The sequence below is a fragment of the Homo sapiens genome, chromosome 10, assembly GCF_000001405.40.
Source record: "Homo sapiens chromosome 10, GRCh38.p14 Primary Assembly".
Taxonomy (NCBI): domain Eukaryota; kingdom Metazoa; phylum Chordata; class Mammalia; order Primates; family Hominidae; genus Homo; species Homo sapiens.
The window spans coordinates 30,094,127-30,117,242 of NC_000010.11; the positions used below are offsets into that span (position 1 = coordinate 30,094,127).

Consider the following 23,116-nt stretch of genomic DNA (forward strand, 5'->3'; position numbering starts at 1 on the left):
TTGTTAAGTCAAGATGAAAGTTCATCAACAGCAGACTGGGCACAGTGGTTCATGCCTATAATTCCAGCACTTTGGGAGGCCAAGACAGGCAGATCACTTGAGGTCAGGAGTTCGAGACCAACCTGGCCAAAATGGTAAAACCCTGTCTCTACTAAAAAAAAAAAAATACAAAAATTAGCCAGGCATAGTGGTGGGTGCCTGTAGTTCCAGCTACTCGGAGGCTGAGGCAGGAAAATCCCACGATCCCGGGAGGCGGGAGGTTGTGGTGAGCCAAGATCATGCCATTGCACTCCAGCCTGGGTGACAGAGACAGACTCCATCTCAAAACAAAAACAAAAACCACAACAAAAACAAAACAACAAAAAACTGCTTACAGAGGGCTGTTATGAAATATGGGAGATACAAAGGAACAAAGCCTCCCAGGTGCCGTGGGGCTGCTGCCACAGTGCATGCAATATTCATCTTTTGTTGAAAGCAGACGAGTGCTACTTCTACCTGCATTTTCCCTTATGCAGTCTGGAGGAGACTGCATGGCAGCCTTATGGAAAGAAATCAGTTCTCTTCCTGCTCCCAACTAAGACACCATCTTTGCCTTTGGAAAAACCAGCCGCCCACTCCTAACTTAGCTTCTTCCCCACACACCTCACCGATTTAGCCCACCTGTTCCCAGTCATTTTCATTCTCCCACCTCCTCCCGAATATCTGTCTCCCTGATCTCGCTGAGATGTGGAGTCATTTCCCTTCTTTTCCTCCTCCTACACTCTCTCTGAAACAAGCACACCAAGTCCCCCATTTGGGAGTGCAAAGGAGGACATCTAGTTCTCACCAGAAATTAGTTTTATTAATTGTCTGAGTAGGTTGTTGGACCCAGTGATTCAGATTTCAGCCCGGGGTGGATCTTGGCCGGTGCACCTCCAGCTAGGGTGTAGTTCTGAGTCCCTTTGGTCACCTCATCCTTTTCCTTAGCATCCCTCTGGCCCTTGGACGAACTTTATGTTTATTCTCTGTGCCCTAGAACTCTGGGTCCTTCCCTGGTTCATGCCTCTATTTTTCTTTCCTGCATAGAACTTGCAGTTCCCAATTTTGCCCATGATGGACAAGTTCATGGCTCTCGTCTCTTAACGTTATTTTCTGAACCCTGACCCATTTCTTCACTTCTCTTTCAGTTTTGTTGATAGATATTTACTGATCATTAAAATTGATTCTACCCCTGGGGGAATGAGTCATGGCTTTTTAACCTATTGTTCTAAATTAATTCCTGGGCCAGCCTTGCAATGGCCCTGTGGCCTCAACAATGGGCACCAGTGTCCCAGGTGCCTTGGAGGTATTTTCTCAGCTCCACCCAACAACCTACAGCCCACTTTTCATCTTATCCCATTGCTGAGCTTGCCTCCCCGTTCGACCTGCTCTGACTTTGAATTTGGGGCTGGAATTGTGCATTTTGTTCTTTTCTCATTTGCACTTCATGTATCTGAGTATTGGAACATTTATCCTGCTATGTTTTAATTATTTGCTCACCTGTGGAACTCCCAGTCCTGATCACAAGCTCCTCATGGTCAAGGGCTGTGTCTCGCTCATCTTAGAATCGTGAGTGCCTGGCTCATGAGAGATGCTCAGGAGATATTGATGAGGTTAGCAGCTGAGTTCCCCAGAGGGGAAGCCTTAGAGCCTTCTATAAGCCCAGCCTTGCCATAGACAGTACTTCACTCCTGGAGCAGTGGTAATATAAAAAATGACCACATTAGTAAGTGACAGGCTGTTCCTATTCATCCCAGAGACTTTTTGCAGGGGTTCTTTGTGTGTTTCTATTTGCTCATTTGTTTTTCAGTAAGGCGGAACTTCTCTTTGAAGCTTGTGGCATGTTAAGTCCACTGACCACAAGCTAGGGAAAAAATGCAGTATTTTGCTTTTTTTGTTTTATTGTCAGTAAAAGTCAAGGTTCAGTCCACAGGATCCACACAGCCATCAGAGGGGCCAGTGTGTGGAGAAGCTGCCAGGAAAGATGCCATCAGCCTGGGCCATTGAGGTCTTCTCTGTAACCCTGCCTCTCTGTCTTCCTGACTCACCTGCCCCACCGCCCCAGGTGCTGGGGACAGAGGCATGTGTATTGCAGACCAACACTGATGATGGGCGGCCCCACCAAATCAGCCTGGAGCTCAACTCCTGCTGCACCACCAACCCCACTGCCCTGAGCCTCAGTTTCCTCGTCTGTAAGATGTGGAAAATGCTACCTACCTTGCAGAGTTGCTACAGGGATCAGTGGTAATGCAAAAATGCTATTACTATTGTTATTATTATGGAAATCTCTAGGCAGGAATCACATTCTCAAGCTGGCACATAATGAAAATCAAGGAATCACTAATGCATTATTCATCACACCTTGACATGACTTTTATATAACATTCAGCTGAAGTATCTTCGATCTGTATCTTCTTATTTGCTATTCTGAGTTCAGAACATAGGATAACTAGCTCATCAGTTCAATGAGCTGGGATTTTTTTTTTTTTTTTAATGAGCATCTGTTTGTGCCAACATCTCAGGTCCCTGAATGTACCCCTTCTCCTGAGGTTGAAGTATAAATTGATGAAGGCTCAGGTGGCGTCATGGAATGTCTCAAATAGATTAAGGCTGCACGACACGTGTGTGACTTGTATTCTATTTGGAGACAGTGTGGGAAGGTGAATCCAGCAAGAGCTCAAATTTTCCAGTGAGCAAATGTAGAATTTTAATTAGCTTCGAGTCCATTTCTCTGCTGGAAATAGATCTCTGAGCATTTCTTCAATAGCATTACAGTAATTATAACAATTCTGAAAGGAATAAGTTACAGGATGTATTTTTGTAAGCTTAGCAGAATAAGAAAGGCCACATCCAGTTCTGTATTTGGAGCATGCCTGGAGTTGCTGTCAAATGATGCTCAACAGCATCAATGACAATAATGTAGACCATCCTATCCACAGTACTCTAAGACTGTACTGCCCATGGCACTTCCTACAGCAATAGAAATGCTCAAACCAAATCTGCACTGTCTAATATGGTGGGCACTGGCCACGTGCAGCTAGCATAACTAAGGGCTGAATTTTAACTTTATTTAATTTTAAATAATTAAAATTAAATAGCCACATGTGGCTAGTGGCCACCGTATTGAGCAGCACAGATACCAGCTGGTGCTTACTCTAAGCCCCCTGCAGCCTGGGGTATTAGTGGGACAAAGGAGGAAATGTCAAAGGCCCCCAAGGCACCATAAAGCCCACACTCTAAAGCTCAAAGGAAGCCAATTCATTGAGTTTTCTATTTTTCATCCTACAGCATATCAGATGCATCCAATTAGAAAAGAGACGCAGGGCCTGGTGCAGTGGCTCATGCCTATAATCCCAGCACTTTGAGAGGTTGAGGTAGGCAGATACCTGAGTCAGGAGTTCAAGACTAGCCTGACCAACATGGTGAAACCCTGCATCTACTAAAAATACAAAATTAGCCAGGCGTAGTGGTGCACTGTAGTGGGCCTGTAGTCCCAGCTACTCGAGAGACTAAGACAGGAGAATTGCTTGAACCCAGGAGGCGGAAGTCGCAGGTTTGCAGTGAGCCGAGATTGCCCCACTGCACTCCAGCCTGGGCGACAGATGGAAACTCCGTCTCAAAAAATAAATAAATAAATAAAGGAAAGAAAAGAGACACGGGTACAATGGCAGCACCCTCCAGAAATGAAAAAGTTTGAAAAGGAAACAAGACTCAAAGGAGAAAAACAGCCTGGGATTCCTGAGCCCAAGGATAAGCAGCCTTTATACCTCAAAGTCATCAAGGAAACGTCAAGAGTTCAACCACAGAGGCTCCAGGAAGGGATAGAGGGAAAATGAGCAACCCTAATCCAGACTTCTGGCCATCAAAGGTGGTAAAATATGGACGGTATTGCTGCCAAATGGGTGAGTTTTGGTTATCTGGAGAGTCCAGCTGCTGGTCACGTCTCAGTCCCTCCCTAATAGCACCTTGTGATGTCCTTTTGTTCTTGGGAGAAATAACTCCTGCGACCCTCGGGTCTGCCTAAAGTAGCTTTGCCCACAGCTCCTGCCTCAGTTTATATGACTTCTCCTGACTCTTTGTTCTCTAGCTAGGCTGATCGTCCTTCTGCTTCCTGAAGGTGCCGTGATCCTTCCTCCACAGGACTTCTATCTAGAAGGTTTCTTCCATGCTACCCCTGTTTCTCCCCCAGCTGGCTCCTAGGCACCCTCAGATCTCAGCTCAAGTGTGTTCCTTGGAAGGCCCCCTGAATCCCCAACCCATCCCCACCACATCTAGGCCTGGTTTCTTTGTTAGTCACTCTTCGCCCTGCATTTCTTCCCAGCAAATACCTACTTGAATATACTCGTGCATCAGTGAGATGAACTGATTTATTCATCTGTAAACTCCAAGAAAGCTGGGATGGTGTTTGGCCTGATTCATTTGCTTTTGTGTCCTCAGTTCCTGGATTGTGCTCAATAAATGCAAAATGAAAGAATGAATGAACTCCAGTTTATTTCTAAGATTTTCGACATGACAAGTGTCCTCCAATCCCTAACACTTTCACATCTTCCTAAAAAATCTCTTTAAGCTTTAGGATGACTCATATTCTCTTTGAGTGCCATTCCAAAGTTCTTACTGTCCAATAACTTATTATCATGAAATCTTCAACCTTAAAATTCCACCCACTTCTCCTTTGTTTGCTCCACTTACTACATCGTCCCCCAAAAACTTCCTGATTTTTTTTAAACCTTTGGAGCTCATGTTGCAAGCTGAATCACATCTGTGGTTCTTTTCTTGGCAATGTACTCGCCTTGGTTTTTTCAGTTTCCTTCACTTGGTTTATCTGATAGCCTCTGAGCTCCTTATTTACTTGCTACCAATTACTTAGGTGTCTATTACTTAGATAGCTGCATTATCTTTTGAAATTCGTAGTTTATCCTTCACCCAGGATTTTTCTATTATTTTTTCCATAGACTTTCTCTAAACTGTGAATCTATTTCTTATTCTCTTTTAAAGAAAATTATTTAAAAGTGGGGAAAATGAAACGTAAACATAATCCCAACTCATCTTACACCTCATCTTTGAAACATAAGACATCATTGCAAAAGAAAGATCTCAGTTAATTATTTCCAAAGCCTTCAGGGGATTTATTCCTAACTTCTCATTTTCTGTCTCATTCCTAAAGAATCAGGGGTAAAACTCCCATTAGTCCTAATTACCCTCCCTAAATCCAATCAAGTCATTATGCCTCAGACTTTGTTTTCTTTAGAATGAGTTTCTTATCTAGTTAAATAATTTTCTCTTTCTAATAGACTTTATTTAGTACCAATTTCTTGATATAAATAACTCTCCTCTTTAGTAAGTGTTTGTGAAGCACTTATTATGTTCCAGGCACTGTGCTAGGGAAACAGCATGAATAATAAGATGAAAAAAAAATCCCTGTCCTCATGGAGATTATATTTAACAGGAAGGGGTATAATAAACATATGAATATATATAATATAATTTTAAATAATGACAGGATCTACAAATAATCTTTATGCCAAATGCCATATACAATGAAAAAATCTGAATTTATACTAAAACAGATGTTAGATATGAGTTCTAAATTTCTTTTCAAAGAATCAATATGTCAGTATATGTTCAATTCTTTGTCTTCTACTTGTAAACTTAACTTCCTCGTAAAGTAACCTTTTTCGATTACCTCCTCCACCCTGACTCATTTCAATCACTTGCTCCACCCTGACTCATTGCGATTACCGGCTCCACTCTAACTCATTCCGATTACCTGCTACCTGCTCTGCCCTGACTCATTCTCCATCCTGCATAACCATTTCTCCCACCAAACCACTCACCCAGTCACTCTCTTTAAATTAGCCAATCGGAATTAGTTTAGCCTGTGCGGTCTAACCCTGGCCAACAGGGGAAGGACACAGCAGCAGGGGCCATGTGTGTCAGGGATAAGAACCCCTTCCCCTCCCTTGTCCAAGTGTGCTGCTCACCATTGCTCCATCTGTAAAGGCGCACCCTTCTATAGAAGTAGCTTGCCTTGCTGAGAATTAAAAATAAAATTTTACATTCAAGTGCTATTTCTTTTACGGCACTGAAACTTTATTTATAACATAGAGAAGGGTTGATATTCTTGGTGGAAATTATGACTCTGTTTTGTTAACAAAGAGTCGAACTCTAAAATATTTGAAGAGATTTATTTATTCTGAATTATTCTTTTTGTTGTTCTTGTTTTGTTTGAGGGTTTTTGTTGTAGTTGTTGTTGTTTGAGACAGATCTCACTCTGTCGCCCAGGCTGGAGTGCAGTGACGCGATCTCGGTTCACTGCAACCTCCGCCTCCTGGGTTCAAGCAATTCTCCTGCCTCAGCCTCCCAAGTAGCTGGTATTACAGGCACCCACCACCACACCCAGCTAATTTTTTGGTATTTGTAGTACCGATGGGGTTTCACCAAGTTGGCCACGCTGGTCTCGAACTCCGAACCTCAGGTGATCTGCCCACCTCGGCCTCCCAAAGTGCTGGGATTACAGGTGTGAGCCACCCGACCCTGGCCTATTCTACTTTATTCTTAAACAAAGCCTGAGGCATAATGACTTGATTGGATTTAGAGAGGGTAATTAGGACTAATATGAGTGACCAATGGCCCCTGACACAGCCCTCAGGAGATCCTGAGAACATGTGCCCAAGGTAGTCAGGGTGCAGCTTGGTTTTATACATATTAGGGAGACATGAGACATCAGTCAATACTTGTAAGATGTTCATTGGTTCAGCCAGAGAAGTGGGATAACTGGAAGTGGGACTTCCAAGTCAGGCAGATTCAAAGATTTTCTAACTGGCAATTGGTTGAAAGAGTTATTATCAATAAAAAGGAATGTCTGGGTTAAGATAACGAGTTATGGAGATCAAGGTTTTATCATGCAGAGGAAGCCTTCAGGTAGCAAGCTTCAGAGAGAATAGATTATAAATGTTTCTTATCAGATTTAAAGAGTCTGTTCTGGTTGGGTGCGATGGCTCATGCCTGTAATCCAGCACTTTGGGAGGCCAAGGCAGGTGGATCACAAGGTCAGGAGTTTGAGACCAGCCTGGCCAATATGGCAAAACCCTGTCTCTACTAAAAATACAAAAAATATAGCTGGGCGTGGTGGCCCATTCCTGTAATCCCAGCTACTCGGGAGGCTGAAGCAGGAGAATTTCTTGAAACTGGGAGGTGGAGGTTGCAGTGAGCTGGGATCACACCACTGCACTCCAGCCTGGGTGACAGAGCGAGACTCAGTCTCAAAAAAAGAGTCTGTTTTATTAGTAATTCCAAAAGGGAGGAGGGTGTCATGAGGCATGTCTGACCCTCCTTTCCTATCATGGCATGAAACTAGTTTTTCAGGCTAACTTATTTATTTATTTTATTATTATTAATTTTTTGTTAGAGACAGGGTCTCACTATGTTGGCCAGGCTGGTCTTGAACTCATGACCTCAAGTGATCCACCTGCCTTGGCCTCCCAAAGTGCTGGGATTACAGGCCTGAGCCACCACGCCCGGCTCAGGCTAACTTTAGAATGCCTGTGGCTGAGAGGAGGGGTCCATTCAGGTGGTTGGGGGGCTTGGAATTTTATTTTTGGTTCATAGTCTTTTAAGCATAAAATCCTGTCATAAACATCTTAAGAAATCTTATCTTCACTTTGCTGTGTTTCAGTGAAAGGGGAGATTATCCACTCATTCACTTAGAGACATTTGCATGGTGTCTACTGTGGGCAAGGTTCTAACATACATGTACAGTGTTGCAATGAAGAACAGGAAAGCTTCAACCTTCTGACCTCAGGGGTGGGACTGAAGTAATGAGCAGATGCCAGTGTGGTCTTTGCCTGGGAAATGTCAGTGAGGGCCAGAGGGTAAGCTAGTACTCTACCCTTCAGACCACTCCACAACTCATCTCCCACCTAGTCAATTTTCTGTGGCTCTAGACGACAGAATCCTGGTTATGATTTTTATTATTATTTTATTGTGGTAAGAACACTTTACGTAAGATCTTAACATACCTTCTTAATGTTTTTTCTTTTTTTGAGACAAACTCTTGCTCTGTCGCCCAGGCTGGAGTGCAGTGGTATGATCTTGGCTTACTGCAACCTCCACCTCCTGGGTTCAAGCAATTCTCCTGCCTCAGCCTCCCAATTAGCTGGGATCACAGTGGGTGCTTACCACCATGTCCGGCTAATTTTTGTATTTTTAGTAGAGAGAGGGTTCACCATGCTGGCCGGCCTGGTCTCAAACTCCTGACCTCAGATGATTCATCTGCCTCAGCCTCCCAAAGTGCTGGGATTACAGGCGTGAGCCACTGCACCCAGTCTACCCTCTTACATTTTTAAGTGCACATTACAATATTAACTTATAGGCATAATGTTGCACAGCAGATCTCTAGAACTTACTCATCTTGCAAAACTGAACATTTATACCTGTTAAACAACACCTTCCGCTTTCTACCCCAAACCCTGCCAACCACCATGCTACTCTCTGCTTCTATGAGTTTGACTATTTTAGATTCCTTATATAAGCAGAATCATACAGTATTTGCCCTTCGGTGCCTGGCTTATTGTATTAGTTTGTTCTCACACTGCTAATAAACACATACCCAAGACTGGATAATTTATAAAGGAAAGAGATTTAATGGACTCACAGTTCCACATGGCTGGGGAGGCCTCATAATCGTGGCAGAAGGCAAATGAAGAGCAAAGTCACGTCTTACATGGCAGCAGGCAAGAGGGCATGTGCAGGGGAACTCCCCTTTATGAAACCATCAGACCTCATGAGACTTATTCACTATCTTGACAGCAGCATGGAAAAGACCCACCCCCATGATTCAATTACCTCTTACCAGGTCCCTCCCATGACACATGGGAACTATGGGACCTACAATTGAAGATGAGGTTTGGGTGGGGACACAGCCAAACCATATGACTGATTTCTCTTAGCATAACATCCTCCCAGTTCATATTGTTGCATATGGCAAGATTTTCGCCTTTTTTAATGCTGGGTAATATTCCACTGTGTGCATAGACCACATTTTCCTTGCCCATTCATCTCCTGAGGGACATTTAGGTTGTTTCTGTATCTTAGCTATTGTGAATAGTGCTTCAGTGAACATGGGAGTAAAGCTATCACTTCAAGATCTTGACTTCAATTCTTTGAGATATATACCCAAAAATAGGACTACCAAAAAACAGTACGGTTGTTCCTCAAAAATTAAAAGTAGAATTATCATATGATCCGGCAATCCTGGTTGTTCTTTTGCCATAATATTTAAAGATGTATGTAAGGAGATAAAGGCAAATAATTCAGATTCATACACTTAAGAGTTGGAAGGAACTTCAAACGTTGTATGTCAAATGTTAAAATAAATGTTAAATGTTAAAATTGATGTTAAAATAGATAAGAAAATACCTGTTCAAATATTAAAGTAAATGAGGAAATGCCTGTATATTTATGTATAAATACACACACACACACACACCCACACACACTCACAGCCAGTTCTTTTGATCCCAAATAAGCCCTTTCTCTATTGCTACTATAATAACCTACTGATAATAAACAGTTAGTGAGTCAATTTTTCTTTTTTTTTTTTTTTTTGGACAGAGTTTTGTGTTGTTGCCCAAGCTGGAGTGCAATGACGCAATCTTGGCTCACTGCAACCTCCGCCTCCTGGGTTCAAGCGATTCTCCTACCTCAGCCTCCCGAGTAGCTGGGATTACAGGCATGCACCATCACGCTTGGCTAATTTTTTGTATTATTTTAATTTTGCCATATAACACAGGAAATGCAGTTCAATGGGAGAGTGGTAAGTGCTATGGCAAAGGCACAAAGAAAGTATCATGGGGATACACCAAAAGAATTGAACTCTAGTTTGAATAGTTCTGGTTGGAACTAGCCTGAAGGCAGAGAGGGAGGAAAAAGTTCCTAGAAAGAGGAAACTGAGAAGTTAACTTACAGAGGCCTGGGGGCATGTGGCTCATTCAGGAAAAGGAAAATGATTTCAGAGGTCGTGGAGCGTAAGTCCTGAGAGGGTTGCAGGTGGGAGGGAGAGTGAAGCAATTTCACAAGGGGCTTTACATGCTGTGTTAAGGGAGTTTGGATTTGATTCAGTAGCAGGTTTTTGAGCAGAAGAGTAACTTTATTAGAGCTGTGGTTTATACATGGAATCAACCTAGGTGCCCATCAACAGTGGATTGATAAAGAAAATGTGGTACATATACACCATGGAACACTATGCAGCCATAAGAAAGAATGAAATCACATCCTTTGCAACCACATGGATGCAGCGGAAGGTCATTGTCCTAAACAAACTAATGCAAGAACAGAAAACCAAATATGTTTTCACTTATAAGTGGGAGCTAAACATTGAGTGCTCGTGGACATAAACATAGGAACAATAGACACACTGGGGACCACTAGAGCGTCCAGGGAGGAGGGCAAGGGTTGAACAGCTACCTGTTGGGTACTATGCTCACTACTTGGGTGATGGGACCATCCACACCCCAAACCTCAGCATCCCACAATACACCCATGTAACAAACCTGTGCATATGTAGCCCCTGAATCTAAAATAAAAAAAGTTGAAATTATTTGAAAATTAAAAACATATGCTTGTCAAAAGTTTTTTGTTTTTGTTTGTTTGTTTGTTTGTTTGTTTTTTAAATGAACTGTGTTTTACAATTAAACTTAGAGAAGAGAGAAGAGCGGAGGGTTGGGGGTTGGCTGAAAAATGGTAGCTCAATTCTGTTATTCACATGTTACCTGTGATAATAATAGTTAGCATTGATTGAATGTGCTAAGAGCTTTGCATACATTAGCTCACTTAATTGTCACAACATTCCTGCAGGCTAGGAGCTTTTATTATTTTTACTTTACAGATCAGGAAATGAGTTTGAAAGCTTGAGTTACTTGCTAGAAAGAGGCAGGTTGTAGGAACATCTAGGTCACTTTTATTCCTAAATGCACCCTCTTCACTGAGCTGCTGTCCTGCCCTGTATTACTAAATCCAGTTGGCAATGATTTCTTTGAGACAGGTATGCATGAGAGAGGTGAAAATAATTTTTCAACATCCCTATAATGGCAGATATCTAAAAAGATGAAAAGAAGACAAAGGCAGAGATTGACTGTGCTGTCACCAGCCTTGCAACTGTGACATTCAATCCCTAAGGGGCTCCTTTCTCTCTGTCTGTTTTCTTTTCTTTCTTTCTTTTTTTTTTTTTTGAGATGGAGTATTGCTCTCTTGCTCACTGCAACCTCTGCTTCCTGGGTTCAAGTGATCCTCCTGCCTCAGCCTCCCGAGTAGCTGGGATTACAGACACGTGCCACCACACCCAGCTAATTTTTGTATTTTTAGTAGAGACACGGTTTCACCATGTTGGCCAGCCTGGTCTCGAACTCCTGACCTCAGATGATTCATCTGCCTCGGCCTCCCAAAGTGCTGGAATTACAGGTGTGAACCACAAACCCAACCCTTTCTGCCTATTTTCTAGTCCAAATCCTCAGTTTTTGTTTGCATGTACTGAAATAATGCAACATAATTTTCATATTAGTTTCAGAAAATTAAGAATCAGAAAAATAAGGCTATTGTAAAATAATTCACATAATGCTTGTCAAAGCCTACTGCCAATGTGTTATTTTTTATCATCTGCTATGATAAATTAGCATTGACATTAATTGACACGACTGCTTTTGATAAGTGTAAAACATCAAAAGCTGATTTTACAATTTATGTGTAAAGATCTAAAATGGTGATTTTGCATCCTATATTCTGAATTGGTTAAGACCCAGCATTAATGTAACTCTGCTAACTCTTCCAAGCATTTATTTCCTAGTGATCACGTCTAGGAAGGAACACAGCACTCCCTTCAGGATAAAATATCTTCAAGTACTAAGACCCCAACCAATATTTGTTCCTTCACAATTCCAGAGCCATAGAACCACGGTTATAGATTATGCTTTAGACATCATTTATTATTTTAAAGAGATGCAGGCTGGGGGCATTGGCTCACACCTGTAATCCCAGCACTTTGGGATGCTGAGATGGGAGGATCACTTGATGCCGGGAGTTCAAGATCAGTCTGGGCAACACAGCAAGACCCCATCTCTACAAAAAATAAAAAATATAAAAAATTAACTGGGCATGATGGTGTGTGCCTGTAGTCCCTGCTACTTGGGAGGCTAAGACAGGAGGATTGCTTGAGCCCAGGAGTTGGAGACTGCAGTGAGTTATGATGGCACCACTGCACTGGGCAACAGAGCAATACCTTGTCTCTTAAAAAAAAAAAAAGTACAACGCAAAAAGGCAGATGTGTCCCTGTAGAACTTTGTCACTGTGAAGCCTAGAGTAGCACAGAAGATTAGTTTGGATGAACGTTGTAGTGCTTTGTCACCCAGGCTGGAGTGCAGTGGCACTATCTCGGCTTACCGCAACCTCTGCCTCCTGGGTTCAAGCGATTCTGCTGCCTCAGCCTCCTGAGTAGCTGGGGTTACAGGTGCATGCTACTATGCCCAGCTAATTTTTGTATTTTTAGTAGAGACAGAGTTTCACCATGTTGGCCAGGCTGGTCTTGAACTCCTGACCTCAGGTGATCTGCCCACCTCAGCCTCCTAAAGTGCTGGGATTACAGGAGTGAGCCACCATGCCTGGCCCGTTGTAGTTCTTTGAGCTTAAATGCCTTGCAAAGTGCCCATTTCCCCATTTGATTTCTCAATTATTATCCTCCTGGCTGGGCATGCCAAGAAGAAGGCTGCCAGCTCAAATGTAGGGAGACCACGGCTGGGTGCAGGCAGCCCTGCATGCCTGTCCTCACAGCACTGCTTTCTGTGCATTTCTCTTCTGTTGTCACTTACTGTCCCATGGCAGTCCTGATTCTTTATTAACACTGGAGAATTGGGACAGAGCCTTGCACATCCCTCCCCATGGGACTGTTGATGAGTTTTCAGTGGGCTTACACAAATACTCATTTGATTGTCAGAGATGTTTAAACCAGAGCGACTCCATCTTGAATAGGGGCTAGGTAAAATAAGGCTGGGACCTACTCGGCTGCATTTCCAGTAGGTTAGGCACTGTAAGTCACAGGATGAGATAGGAGGTCACATGATACAGGTCACAAAGACCTTGCTGATAAAACAGCATGAGGTAAAGAAGCTAGCCAGAACCCGCCAAAACCAAGATGGCGATGAAAGGGATCTCTCGTCATCCTTGCTGCTCATTATATGCTAATTATACTGCATTGGCATGCTAGAAGACACTCCCACCAGTGCCATGACAGTTTTCAGATGCAATGGCAATATCCAGAAGTTACCCTATATGATCTAAAAAGGGGAGGACACTTCAGTTCTGGAAATTGCCCACCCCTTTCCTGGAAAACTCATGAATAATCCACCCTTTGTTTAGCAAATAATCAAGAGGTAACGATAAGTACAATCAGTTGAGCAGCCGTCGCCACTGCTCTGCCTATGAAGTAGCCATTCTTTTGTTTCTTTACTTCTTTAATAAACTTGCTTTCACTTTACTCTATGGACTCGCCCTGAAGTCTTCCTTGCATGAGGTCCAAGAACCCTCTCTTGGGGTCTGGATTGGGACCCCTTTCAAGTAACATGATGAGGTATCTAAATTAATGCATGATTGAATGAAATCGGAAAACACATTATCCAAGGAAGTCAATCCTGAAGCCCCATCATTTCAGAATTAAGATGAAACTTACTTCCTTTTCAATTGCCTAAAGAACAGCTACCTTAAAACTTAAAAAAAAATGGCCATAGTGTCTAATAAAATATGCACCCCTATCCTGGAATGCCCCTTTTCTGTCTAGGATACCTTAGTCAGTAGGTTATGTTCCAGAAATATGTCAGGAGCCCTATCTTAAGAATGATGGTGGCCGGGTGCGGTGGCTCACTCCTGTAATCCCGGCACTTTGGGAGGCCCAGGCAGGTGGATCACTTGAGGTCATGAGTTTGAGACCCGCCTGGCCAACATGGTGAAACCCCGTCTCTACTAAAAATACAAAATTAGCCGGGCGTGGTGGTGCACACCTGTAATCCCAGCTACTTGGGAAGCTGAGGCAGGAGAATCACTTGAACCTGGGAGGTGGAGGTTGCAGTGAGCTGAGATCATGCCATTATGCTCCAACCTGGGTGACAAGAGCGAAACTCCATATTAAAAAAAAAAAAAAGAGTGATGGCGTTATCAGGGGTGGTTGTCATGGTGTCAGGAAAGTGAACTTGGCTCTCCAAGGCTTTCTCTTTATTCAAGCTCAGAATTGCAGAGGGATAGGCATCCACATAGCCTTGAGTTTGGGAACACTGCTTTGCAATGGGGCGACGAGAATTTTATCAGAAAGATTGCAGGAACAGAACCACAGTACACACTCAGAGTGAGGGGCTTATAAGGAGAAGATATCCCATCGTTCATTGTTCATTGTTCATTCATTGAAGATATCCCAACATTTAGTTGTCACACATGAGCAGCCTGGCAGTATCCAAAGCCAGAAAGAAATGATGGCAGTGATCATCCCCTCACTAGAGTTTTCACTAAGTCCGTGGGAGGAGATTTCAGCCACTACATGCTTCTTCTTTAAGTCAGAATTCTCCAGCCTAGCTAACAAATGCCTTCTTCGTAAACTTACATTTCAGCCTACACACCCATGGAAGAGAAAATCCCTGTGAAATATAAGGGCCCCTTCTACGTGCTCAAGATTAAAAAAAAAAAAAAGGAAAAAGTAGCTCTCACATGCTTTTGGCAAGTTTTTGTAAGTATGTTGCACAGTGAACATTTAAAGAGTAGACTTTTCTCTGTCCTGAATCTGTAGGAGGTGGAGCTTGGAGTCCTTGGCCCAACTTGCTGGTTGAAACAACGGGAGCCTGAGTTGGAGACAGAGGGCCACAGAGCTGCTCTCCGCTGCACGCCCTGGCACCCAGCATCTTCCCTCGTCCTCAGGCTGCCCCTCCCCAGCCCCCATGCTTGGTTATCTTGATAATCTGTCTGTGTGCATTGAGGCCATTCTGTCCACTTCTCAACCAAGCAGGGAGACTACGATTGGCGGAGCGGAATTGGCCTTGATGGGACAAAGAAGCCACAGTAGATTCTTGAGGCTGCCTGTACCAGGGGCATCATCACAGACTCTCTGAAATGCATGTCTAGGCTTGGTTCATTAAGGACCTTTCACTCTCTTGTTTTCTTCTCAAATAGAAAGCAAGCCTTCCCTTTTTCCTACTCCTAATGTCCCTATCTAGTTAATGGTGCCACCATTTCCCCAGACTTCCAAGTTCAAAACTTGAAGTTATCTTTGATGGATGCCTGTGGCCCTGTCTTCAGCTCAAGCCCCTGTTGTTTCAACCAGCCAGTCACCCAATCTTGTTGCTTTTTTTTCCTTCCGTGTCTCTCTCCTGTCTGTCCCTGTCACTCTGCTCTCCTTGTGGCTTCTGAGTTCTGGTTCTCACTATCTCAAACCTTGATTATCCAAATAATTGTTTTGCTGCTCCAGCCTCCATCCCCACAATCCAAGGGTTGGGTGGATGGTGGAAGGATACTATGATTTGCCATGGCAGCATCGGCGGGATGTGGGGAGGATAAATAATATGGTATAGGCCCCCGATGTATGGACTCCCTGATATATGGACTTCTTGATATATGGGCCCCTTGATGTATGGACCTGCTGATGTATGAACCACCTGATGTATGGACCAGCTGATGTGTGGACCCCCTGGTTTATGAACTAGCTGATCTAGAGACCAGCAGATGTATGGACCAGTTGATATATGGACCAGCTGATATGTAGACCCCCCTGTGTATGGACCAGCTCATGTATGGACCCCCTGATATATGGGCCAGCTGATATATGGACCCCTGATGTATGTATGGACCACTGATGTGTGAAGCTCCTGATATATGACCCCCCAATATATGGACCAATTGATGTATAAACCCATGGATGTATGGACTCACTTATGTATCGACCAGATGATGTATAGACTCCCCGCTGATGTATAGACCAGCTGATGTGTGCAGCTGATGTATGGACCCGCTGATGTATGGACCTGCTGATGTATGGACCATTGATGTATGGTCCAGCTGATGTGTGAACCTCCTGATGTATGGACCCCTGAGGTATGGGCCAGCTGATGTATAGACCAGCTGATGTATGGACTCATTGATGTATTGGCTCACTGATGCATGGACCAGATGATGTATGGACTCCCTGATATATGAGCCAGCTGATGTATAGACCAGCTGATGTGTGGACCAGCTGGTGTATGGACCGGCTAATGTATGGACCTGTTGGTGTATGGACCCCTGATGTATGGACCAGCTGATGTGTGAACCTCCTGATGTATGCCCTCCCCGATATATGGACTAGCTGATGTATGGACTCCCTGATGTATAGGACAGCTGATGTATGGACCCGCTGATGTATAGGCCAGTTGACATATGGACGCACTGATGTATGGACCAGCTGATGTGTGAACCTCCTGATGTATGCCTCCTCTGATATAGGAACCAGCTGATGTATGGGCCAGGTGATGTATGGACCCCTGATATATGGAGCAGCTGATGTATGGACCCCTGGTATATAGACCACTGATGTGTGAACCTCCTGATGAGTGACCCACCAATATATGGACCAGTTGATGTATGGACCCACTGATGTATGGACCAGCTGATGTATGCACCCACTCAGGTATGCACTAACAGATATATGGGCCAGCTGATGTATAGACCCCAATGTATAGACCAGCTGATGTGTGAACATCCTGATGTATGCCTCTCTCCCAACCTGATATATGGACTGGTTGATGTATGGACCCCCTGATGTATGGACCAGCTAATGTATGCACCCACTTAGGTATGGACTAACTGATGTATGGGGCAGCTGATGTATAGACCCCTGATGTATAGACCAGCTAATGGGTGAACATGCTGATGTATGCCTCTACCCCCGACCTGATATATGGACTGGTTGATGTATGGACCCCTGATGTATGGGCCTGCTGATGTTTGGACCAGCTGTGGCTCTCCACTCACTCTGGACCTTCCACCCTGTTCCTCACCTGTACACTGTTCCTCCTGGCCATTTGAGTGCCTGACAGCCCTTCGGGACCCAGCCCAGGGGTTACTTCTTCTTGGGTGCATTTTCTTCAAAAAAATTTTTTTTAGAGATGGGGTCTTGCTATGTTGCCCAGACTGGTCTCTAACTCCTGGCCTCAAGCAATCCTGTCCCACCATTGACCCATCTGAAGATTGGAGAGACCTTAGGCCCAGGGCTGGGGAATAACCATAATTTGCTCTTCAATTATTCTGCAAATACATATTGAGTTCCCACAGTGATGAACACAGTCCTAAGTACTGAGATGCAATAGTAGACAGAATCTCTGTCTTCATGAGGCTTTCATAGTCCTAGGAGGAGATACGTTACATTTTATTTATTCATTTAAATAAGTAAAAATGTGATGTGACATGACATGATAAATCATAAAGCTATGTATAAAGAAAAATAAAGCCAGATAAAGGAAATACAAAGTGAATGACTGGACAAATGGCCAACAAACAAATAAAAAGAGGCTCCGTGTCATTAGTCATGAGGGAAATGTGATTCAAATCCACAGTGAGCTCACACTTCACACCCAGTAGGATGGCGATCATAAAAATAACCGGAAAATAACTTTTGGCAAGAATGTGGAGAAATTGGAACCTTCCTACAGTGCTGGTGGGAATGTGAAATAGTGCAGCTGCTGTGGAAAATAGTTTGGCAGTTCCTCAAAAAGTTAAACATAGACTCACCATATGATCCAGCAATTCCACTCCCAGGTAGATGCCCCCAAAGAGCTGAAAATATGGGTTTAAGTGAAAACTTGTCCACCCATGCTCATGGCAGCACTATTCACAATGACTGAAAGGTGGAAACAACTCAAATCACCATGAACTGATAAAGCATAAACAAAATGTGATATATACACACAATGGACTATCATTCAGCCGTAGAACAGAATGGAGGACCGATGCAGGCTACCTCATGGACAAACATTAAGAATATGATGCTGGGCTGGGAGCAGTGGCTCACACCTATAATCCCAGCACTTTGGGAGGCTGATGTAGGAGGATCACTTGAAGCCAGGAGTTCAAGACCAGCCTGGGCAACAAAATGAGACCCTGTCTCTACAAAAAATTTAAAAAAAAAATTAGCTGGGTACAACAGCATGCACCTGTCATCCAAGCTACTCAGGAGACTGAGACAGGAAGATCGATTGAGCCTAGGAGTTCAAAGCTGCCTGCAGGGAGCTATGATTGTGCCACTGCACTCCAGCTTCAGCAACACAGTGAGACCCTGTCTCTTTAGAAAAATTAAATTTAAACAAACGAAAAAAATTACAATGCTAAGTGAAATAAGCCAGACACAAAAAGTCACATAATGTATGATTTCATTTATATGAAATATCCAGACTGGGCACGGTGGCTCATGCCTGTAATCCTAGCACTTTTGGAAGCCGACATGGGTGGATCACCTGAAGTCAGGAGATCGAGACCAGCCTGGCCAACATGATGAAACCCCATCTCTATTAAAAATAAAAAAATTAGCCAGGCGTGGTGGCACATGCCTGTAATCCCAGCTACTCAGGAAGCTGAGACAGGAGAATTGCTTGAACCCGGGAGGCAGAGGTTGCAGTGAGCCAAGATTGTACCACTGAACTCCAGCCTGGGCAAAAGAGCGAGACTCCATCTCAAAAAAAAAAAAAAAAAAATCCATAGAGATGAAATGCAGCTCAGGGGTTCCCTGGAGCTTGGGAAAGAGGATAATGGGGCGTGACTGCTTAATGGGCAGAGGGTTTCCTTTCTGGGTGATGAAATGCTCTAGATCTAGACAGTGGCAATGGTTGCATGACATCGTGAATGTACAGTATGAAATATCACTGCACTGTACACTTTACAAATGGTTAAAATGGTAAATTATATATTATATGTATTTTGTCACAATTTTTAAGGAGAGTCAATGAAGGTGGTCATGGGGTTCTCTTTGAATAGGAGGGTCAAAGAAAGCCTCACAAATGAGTGGAGATTTGGGCAAAGACCTGATGCGGGAGGATATGAAACCTCGGTGAGGTACGCAAAAAGCCTCCCAGAGCCGGGTGCAGTGGCTCATGCCTGTAATCCCAGCACTCTGGGAGGCCAAAGCCAGTGGATCACCTGAGGTCAGGAGTTCAAGACCAGCCTGGCCAAAATGGTGAAACCCTGTCTCTACTAAAAATACAAAAATCAACCGGGCGTGGTGGCAGGCGCCTGTAATCCCAGCTACTTGGGAGGCTGAGGGAGGAGAATCGCTTGAACCCAGTAGGTGGAGGTTGCAATGAGCCAAGATCGTGCCACTGCACTCCAGCCTGGGCGACAGAGCGAGACACTGTCAAAAAAAAAAAAAAAAAAAAAAAAAAAAAGCCTCCCAGCAGAGAAGAAGGAAGCACAAAACAGACAGATGGCTCAGAGCAGCATTCATCAGAACCTGGCTCCACCCTCCTCATAGGGCGACTTCTGGGCCCACCTCCCTCCACCTCTCTTCACCTAGCACTTCCTTTTTACCTCTCATCAGGGCATGCACTGTTGCACTGTCTCCCAGACACCCTGGACCCTTCCAACCTGTTCCTCACCTGCACACTGCTCCTCCTGGCCATTTGAATACTTGAACACCCTTTGGCACCCTGCCCAGGGACCACTTCTTCTTAGGTGCATTTTCCTTTAAAAATAATTTTTTTAATAGATGGATCTTGCTATGTTGCCCAGGATGGTCTTGATCTCCTATCCTCAAATGATTCTCCAGCCTCAGCCTCGTAAAGGTTGGGTGCATTAAAGATTTGAGCATTGTGTCTACGACTCGTCAGCATTATGACACTGGGCACTTAGCCCCCTCTGTAAGTTTCTCTTTCTTCATATGTAAAATAAGGGCTATTGAGAGAATAAAATAAGATGATCGCAAAGTGGTTGACTTAGTTCCCCGTGCACAATGGGCTCTCCTGAATGGTAGCTCTATGGCCACTTCAACCTCACCCGTAATCTGAAGCTTGAAATTTGGCACTTCATTTTGTGCTGTTGATAATGTTTTGTAATTATTTGATAAATGTGGGTGGGAGATACAGGATAAACACCAAGGGTGATATTTATCTTCTTTGAAACTGTCTTCCCCCAACCCTGGTAACTATTTGATGCAGAGCATATATAATGCACATGAATAAATGTTTGACTGACAACTGATTGATTGATTTGGCTTTATCATCAAGTAGGTAGGAAATTTTCTTCAAATGCAACTGCAAAGGACAAATAATAATGTCTCAGGAGAGTTATGGATTGGCAAACTAGAAAATACCTGGTCCAGCCACAATGAGATATATTGAAAGCTTTCATAGGCACAGATGTTTGCCAAAAAACACAAAACAGCACAATTAAAAAAAAAAAAAAAAAAAAAACCAGGAGGTGTGGTGGCAGGTTTTTCAGAAAAATGACTCATTCTGTAAATGAACTGTTCTTTTAGTTCAGGAGACCATAGTTACTGGTATTTGAAGAAAATGTTAACACATTTTGCGCTAGATTTAAGACAAGTCTCTAATGATGTATCACTTAGAAAGTCATGAGTTTAAAAAATATGAAAATATGAGATAATAGAACTGTATTTCACAAAAATTTTAAAGCCGAATAGATAGATAGATAGATAGATAGATAGATGATAGATACATAATAGATGATAGATAGATAGAAATATAAACAGATAAAAACAGTGGCACCTGATTACTTGAAGAGCAGCCACAAGGAAGGAGAACCAGTTTAGTTTTATTCAATAAGAACATATGATGCTAAGATAGTGCTGGGAACCGCTTCTGTATGAGCTGGTCACGTGACCAACCTCAGAGCCACTGCCCCAGACAGTGAATAAGACCAACCGACTGTTTTCTACCTTTGTAATCTATATACAACCAAATGCGATGCGGCGACTCCAACGAAGCATCTCTCTTTCTCAAACACCCAGCGCTTTCTCCACAAACAGAGAATTGATTCTGCAGCTCTCTCTCCAGGAGATCCTTGTTTTATCACTTTATTCCCCTTTCAGAGAAACTGTCACAAGCCCTGTTCACCAGCACAAAGCTAGAAAGCAGCTGCCGTTTTTCAGTGATTACCGGCCCTATTTTCTTAATCATCCTTTCAACAAAACAATGGAAAAGGGAAGAAAATATTTACCTGAGGAAATCCCTGATTTCTTCATGAGCGTCTAAAGAATTGAATTTTTCAAAAGCCCCTCGGATGCTCTGCTGAGAATTTCCTAAATCTAAAATCCTCCTCCGATAGCAGCTCTAAGTTTGAGCTCTGAATAGAGGCTGTGTGTTATTTTAACCACAAGGTTTCTAGTCAGTAGGGAGGAGAGATGGAAATGAGGTATGCTGGCAAACACAGCCCCCATCCACCTCAAGTGAATCAAGCTCACAGATCTGATGTAAGAGGTTCGAGGAGATTTGAAGAACCCTCAAACCAACTTTTCCTAAACTAGAGATTAAATAACTGCGGAAAATTCCGAAGGAGTAAGATAAGACACTTATGGTCTTTTCTAAAAAAAGACGTGTTGGTATGCCCTGTCAAATACTGTCCCAAAAGAAGCTTGGTACCGAGCCTATGTGGTCCTGGGCTTTGGACAAGAGAAAGTTACCTTTCTCGTGGTAGCCTTTCTCCACAGAGAAAGGGGGTTAAAAGTACAAAATAACAAAGGAGTGTGACTGACCAAGTCAAATCTTTTGTGCAAAAACAAAACCAGTGTCATGAGAATCCATAGGAAGTTGTAGGGTAAGGGAATAGCTATTCTGGAATGTTATTAAGGGAGGATTAATGTGTGTGTGTGTGTGTGTGTGAGCACGCACGCGTGCTCCCCACCTCCCACACAACTTAAAAAGCAAAGATCCAACCTCAGCTTCAACCAGTTGGAGATCCTCCTCCTTAGTATTTTGGCAAATACAAATGCCGCCTTTGGACTTGGAAGAGAATGATTTATGGCACACAGAATCAACAGCAAAAATGAGGGCGGCTGAAAGGGCCAACGATCCTTTACAGCCAGCCCTTTGCAGATGCCAGAGGGGTTTAACTCCACTTTTGGAAAAAGGCAACAGTGCTCCTATTAAGCAGGGTCATAACTCAGTTTTATATAGAGTCTTTTATCTCAAAGGAGCTTGAGGTGCTTTTGCACCAAAATATAAATTATCATGTGCACTGTCACCTCGGGGACGAAATGCAGCCCTGCCTAGGAGCAGTTGGCCAAGATGCAACCAGTCAGTTTGGAGCCACGGTTAGACAGCAGGACAAGCGGCCAGGAGGCACTCCTCAAGGAGGAATGAGTGGGCCTGTCCTTCTCTCTGGTAGCAGATCCTTTTCTTCACACAGCTCAGTGGGACCTCTTCATTCTGCCCATCACTTCTCTTCCAGAGTCGCCCTATGCCCTCCCACAGAGGACTCTTTCCATCCTACCTACACACACAAATTCAAAATGTGCACTTAGAAAAGAGCTGGCAAACAAAGTGGTAGGCGATGGTTTGCAAATTTGATTCTGTAGATCAAGAGTTGGCCAGCCAGTTGTGGTGGCTCATGCCTGTAATCCCAGCACTTTAGGAGGCTGAGGAGGGGGGATCACCTGAGGTCAGGAGTCTGATACCAGCCTGACCAACATGGTGAAACCCCGTCTCTACTAAAAATACAAAAAAAGTAGCTGGGCATGGTGGCGGGGGCCTGTAATCCCAGCTACTCGGGAGGCTGAGGCAGGAGAATCGCTTGAACCTGGAGGGCAGAGGTTGCCATGAGCCAAGATCACACTTTTGCACTCCAGCCTGGGCGACAAGAGTGAAACTGTCTCAAAAAAAAAAAAAAAAAAAAAGAGTTGGCCAACCATGGCTCTTGGGCCAAAGGCAGCCCACTGACTATTTTTGTCAATAAAGTTTTATTGGTCTACAACCACACACTCATTTACACACTGTATCTGGCTGCTTCTGCATGACAGCAGCAGCGTGGAATAGATGCGGCAGAGACTGTGAGGCCCAGCAAGGCCCGAACTATTTGTTAACTGGTTCTTCATAGA

General features: G+C 43.7%; 1 protein-coding gene and 1 long non-coding RNA gene across 6 annotated transcripts in view; one reads left to right on the forward strand and one right to left on the reverse strand.

The window, feature by feature from the left end:
* Window positions 1-21,368, reverse strand: part of JCAD (junctional cadherin 5 associated) — a 102,692-nt gene extending 81,324 nt beyond the window's left edge. For both annotated transcript variants that reach the window (NM_001350021.2, NM_001350022.2), the window contains exon 1: window positions 21,241-21,368. The gene's annotated coding sequence lies outside the window, so the exon portion shown is untranslated. The remainder of the gene's footprint in view (window positions 1-21,240) is intronic.
* LOC101929256 (uncharacterized) overlaps window positions 1-23,116 on the forward strand; it is a 62,244-nt gene that overhangs the window by 35,289 nt on the left and 3,839 nt on the right. For 2 of the 4 annotated variants that reach the window (XR_001747404.3, XR_001747407.1), the window contains exons 2-3: window positions 14,661-14,776; window positions 16,522-17,760. This is a non-coding gene — a long non-coding RNA (uncharacterized LOC101929256). Of the gene's footprint in view, window positions 1-9,734; window positions 9,833-14,660; window positions 14,777-16,521; window positions 17,761-23,116 lie in introns of those variants that run through there. The other 2 variants (XR_001747406.1, XR_001747405.2) reach the window with 2 other exon arrangements.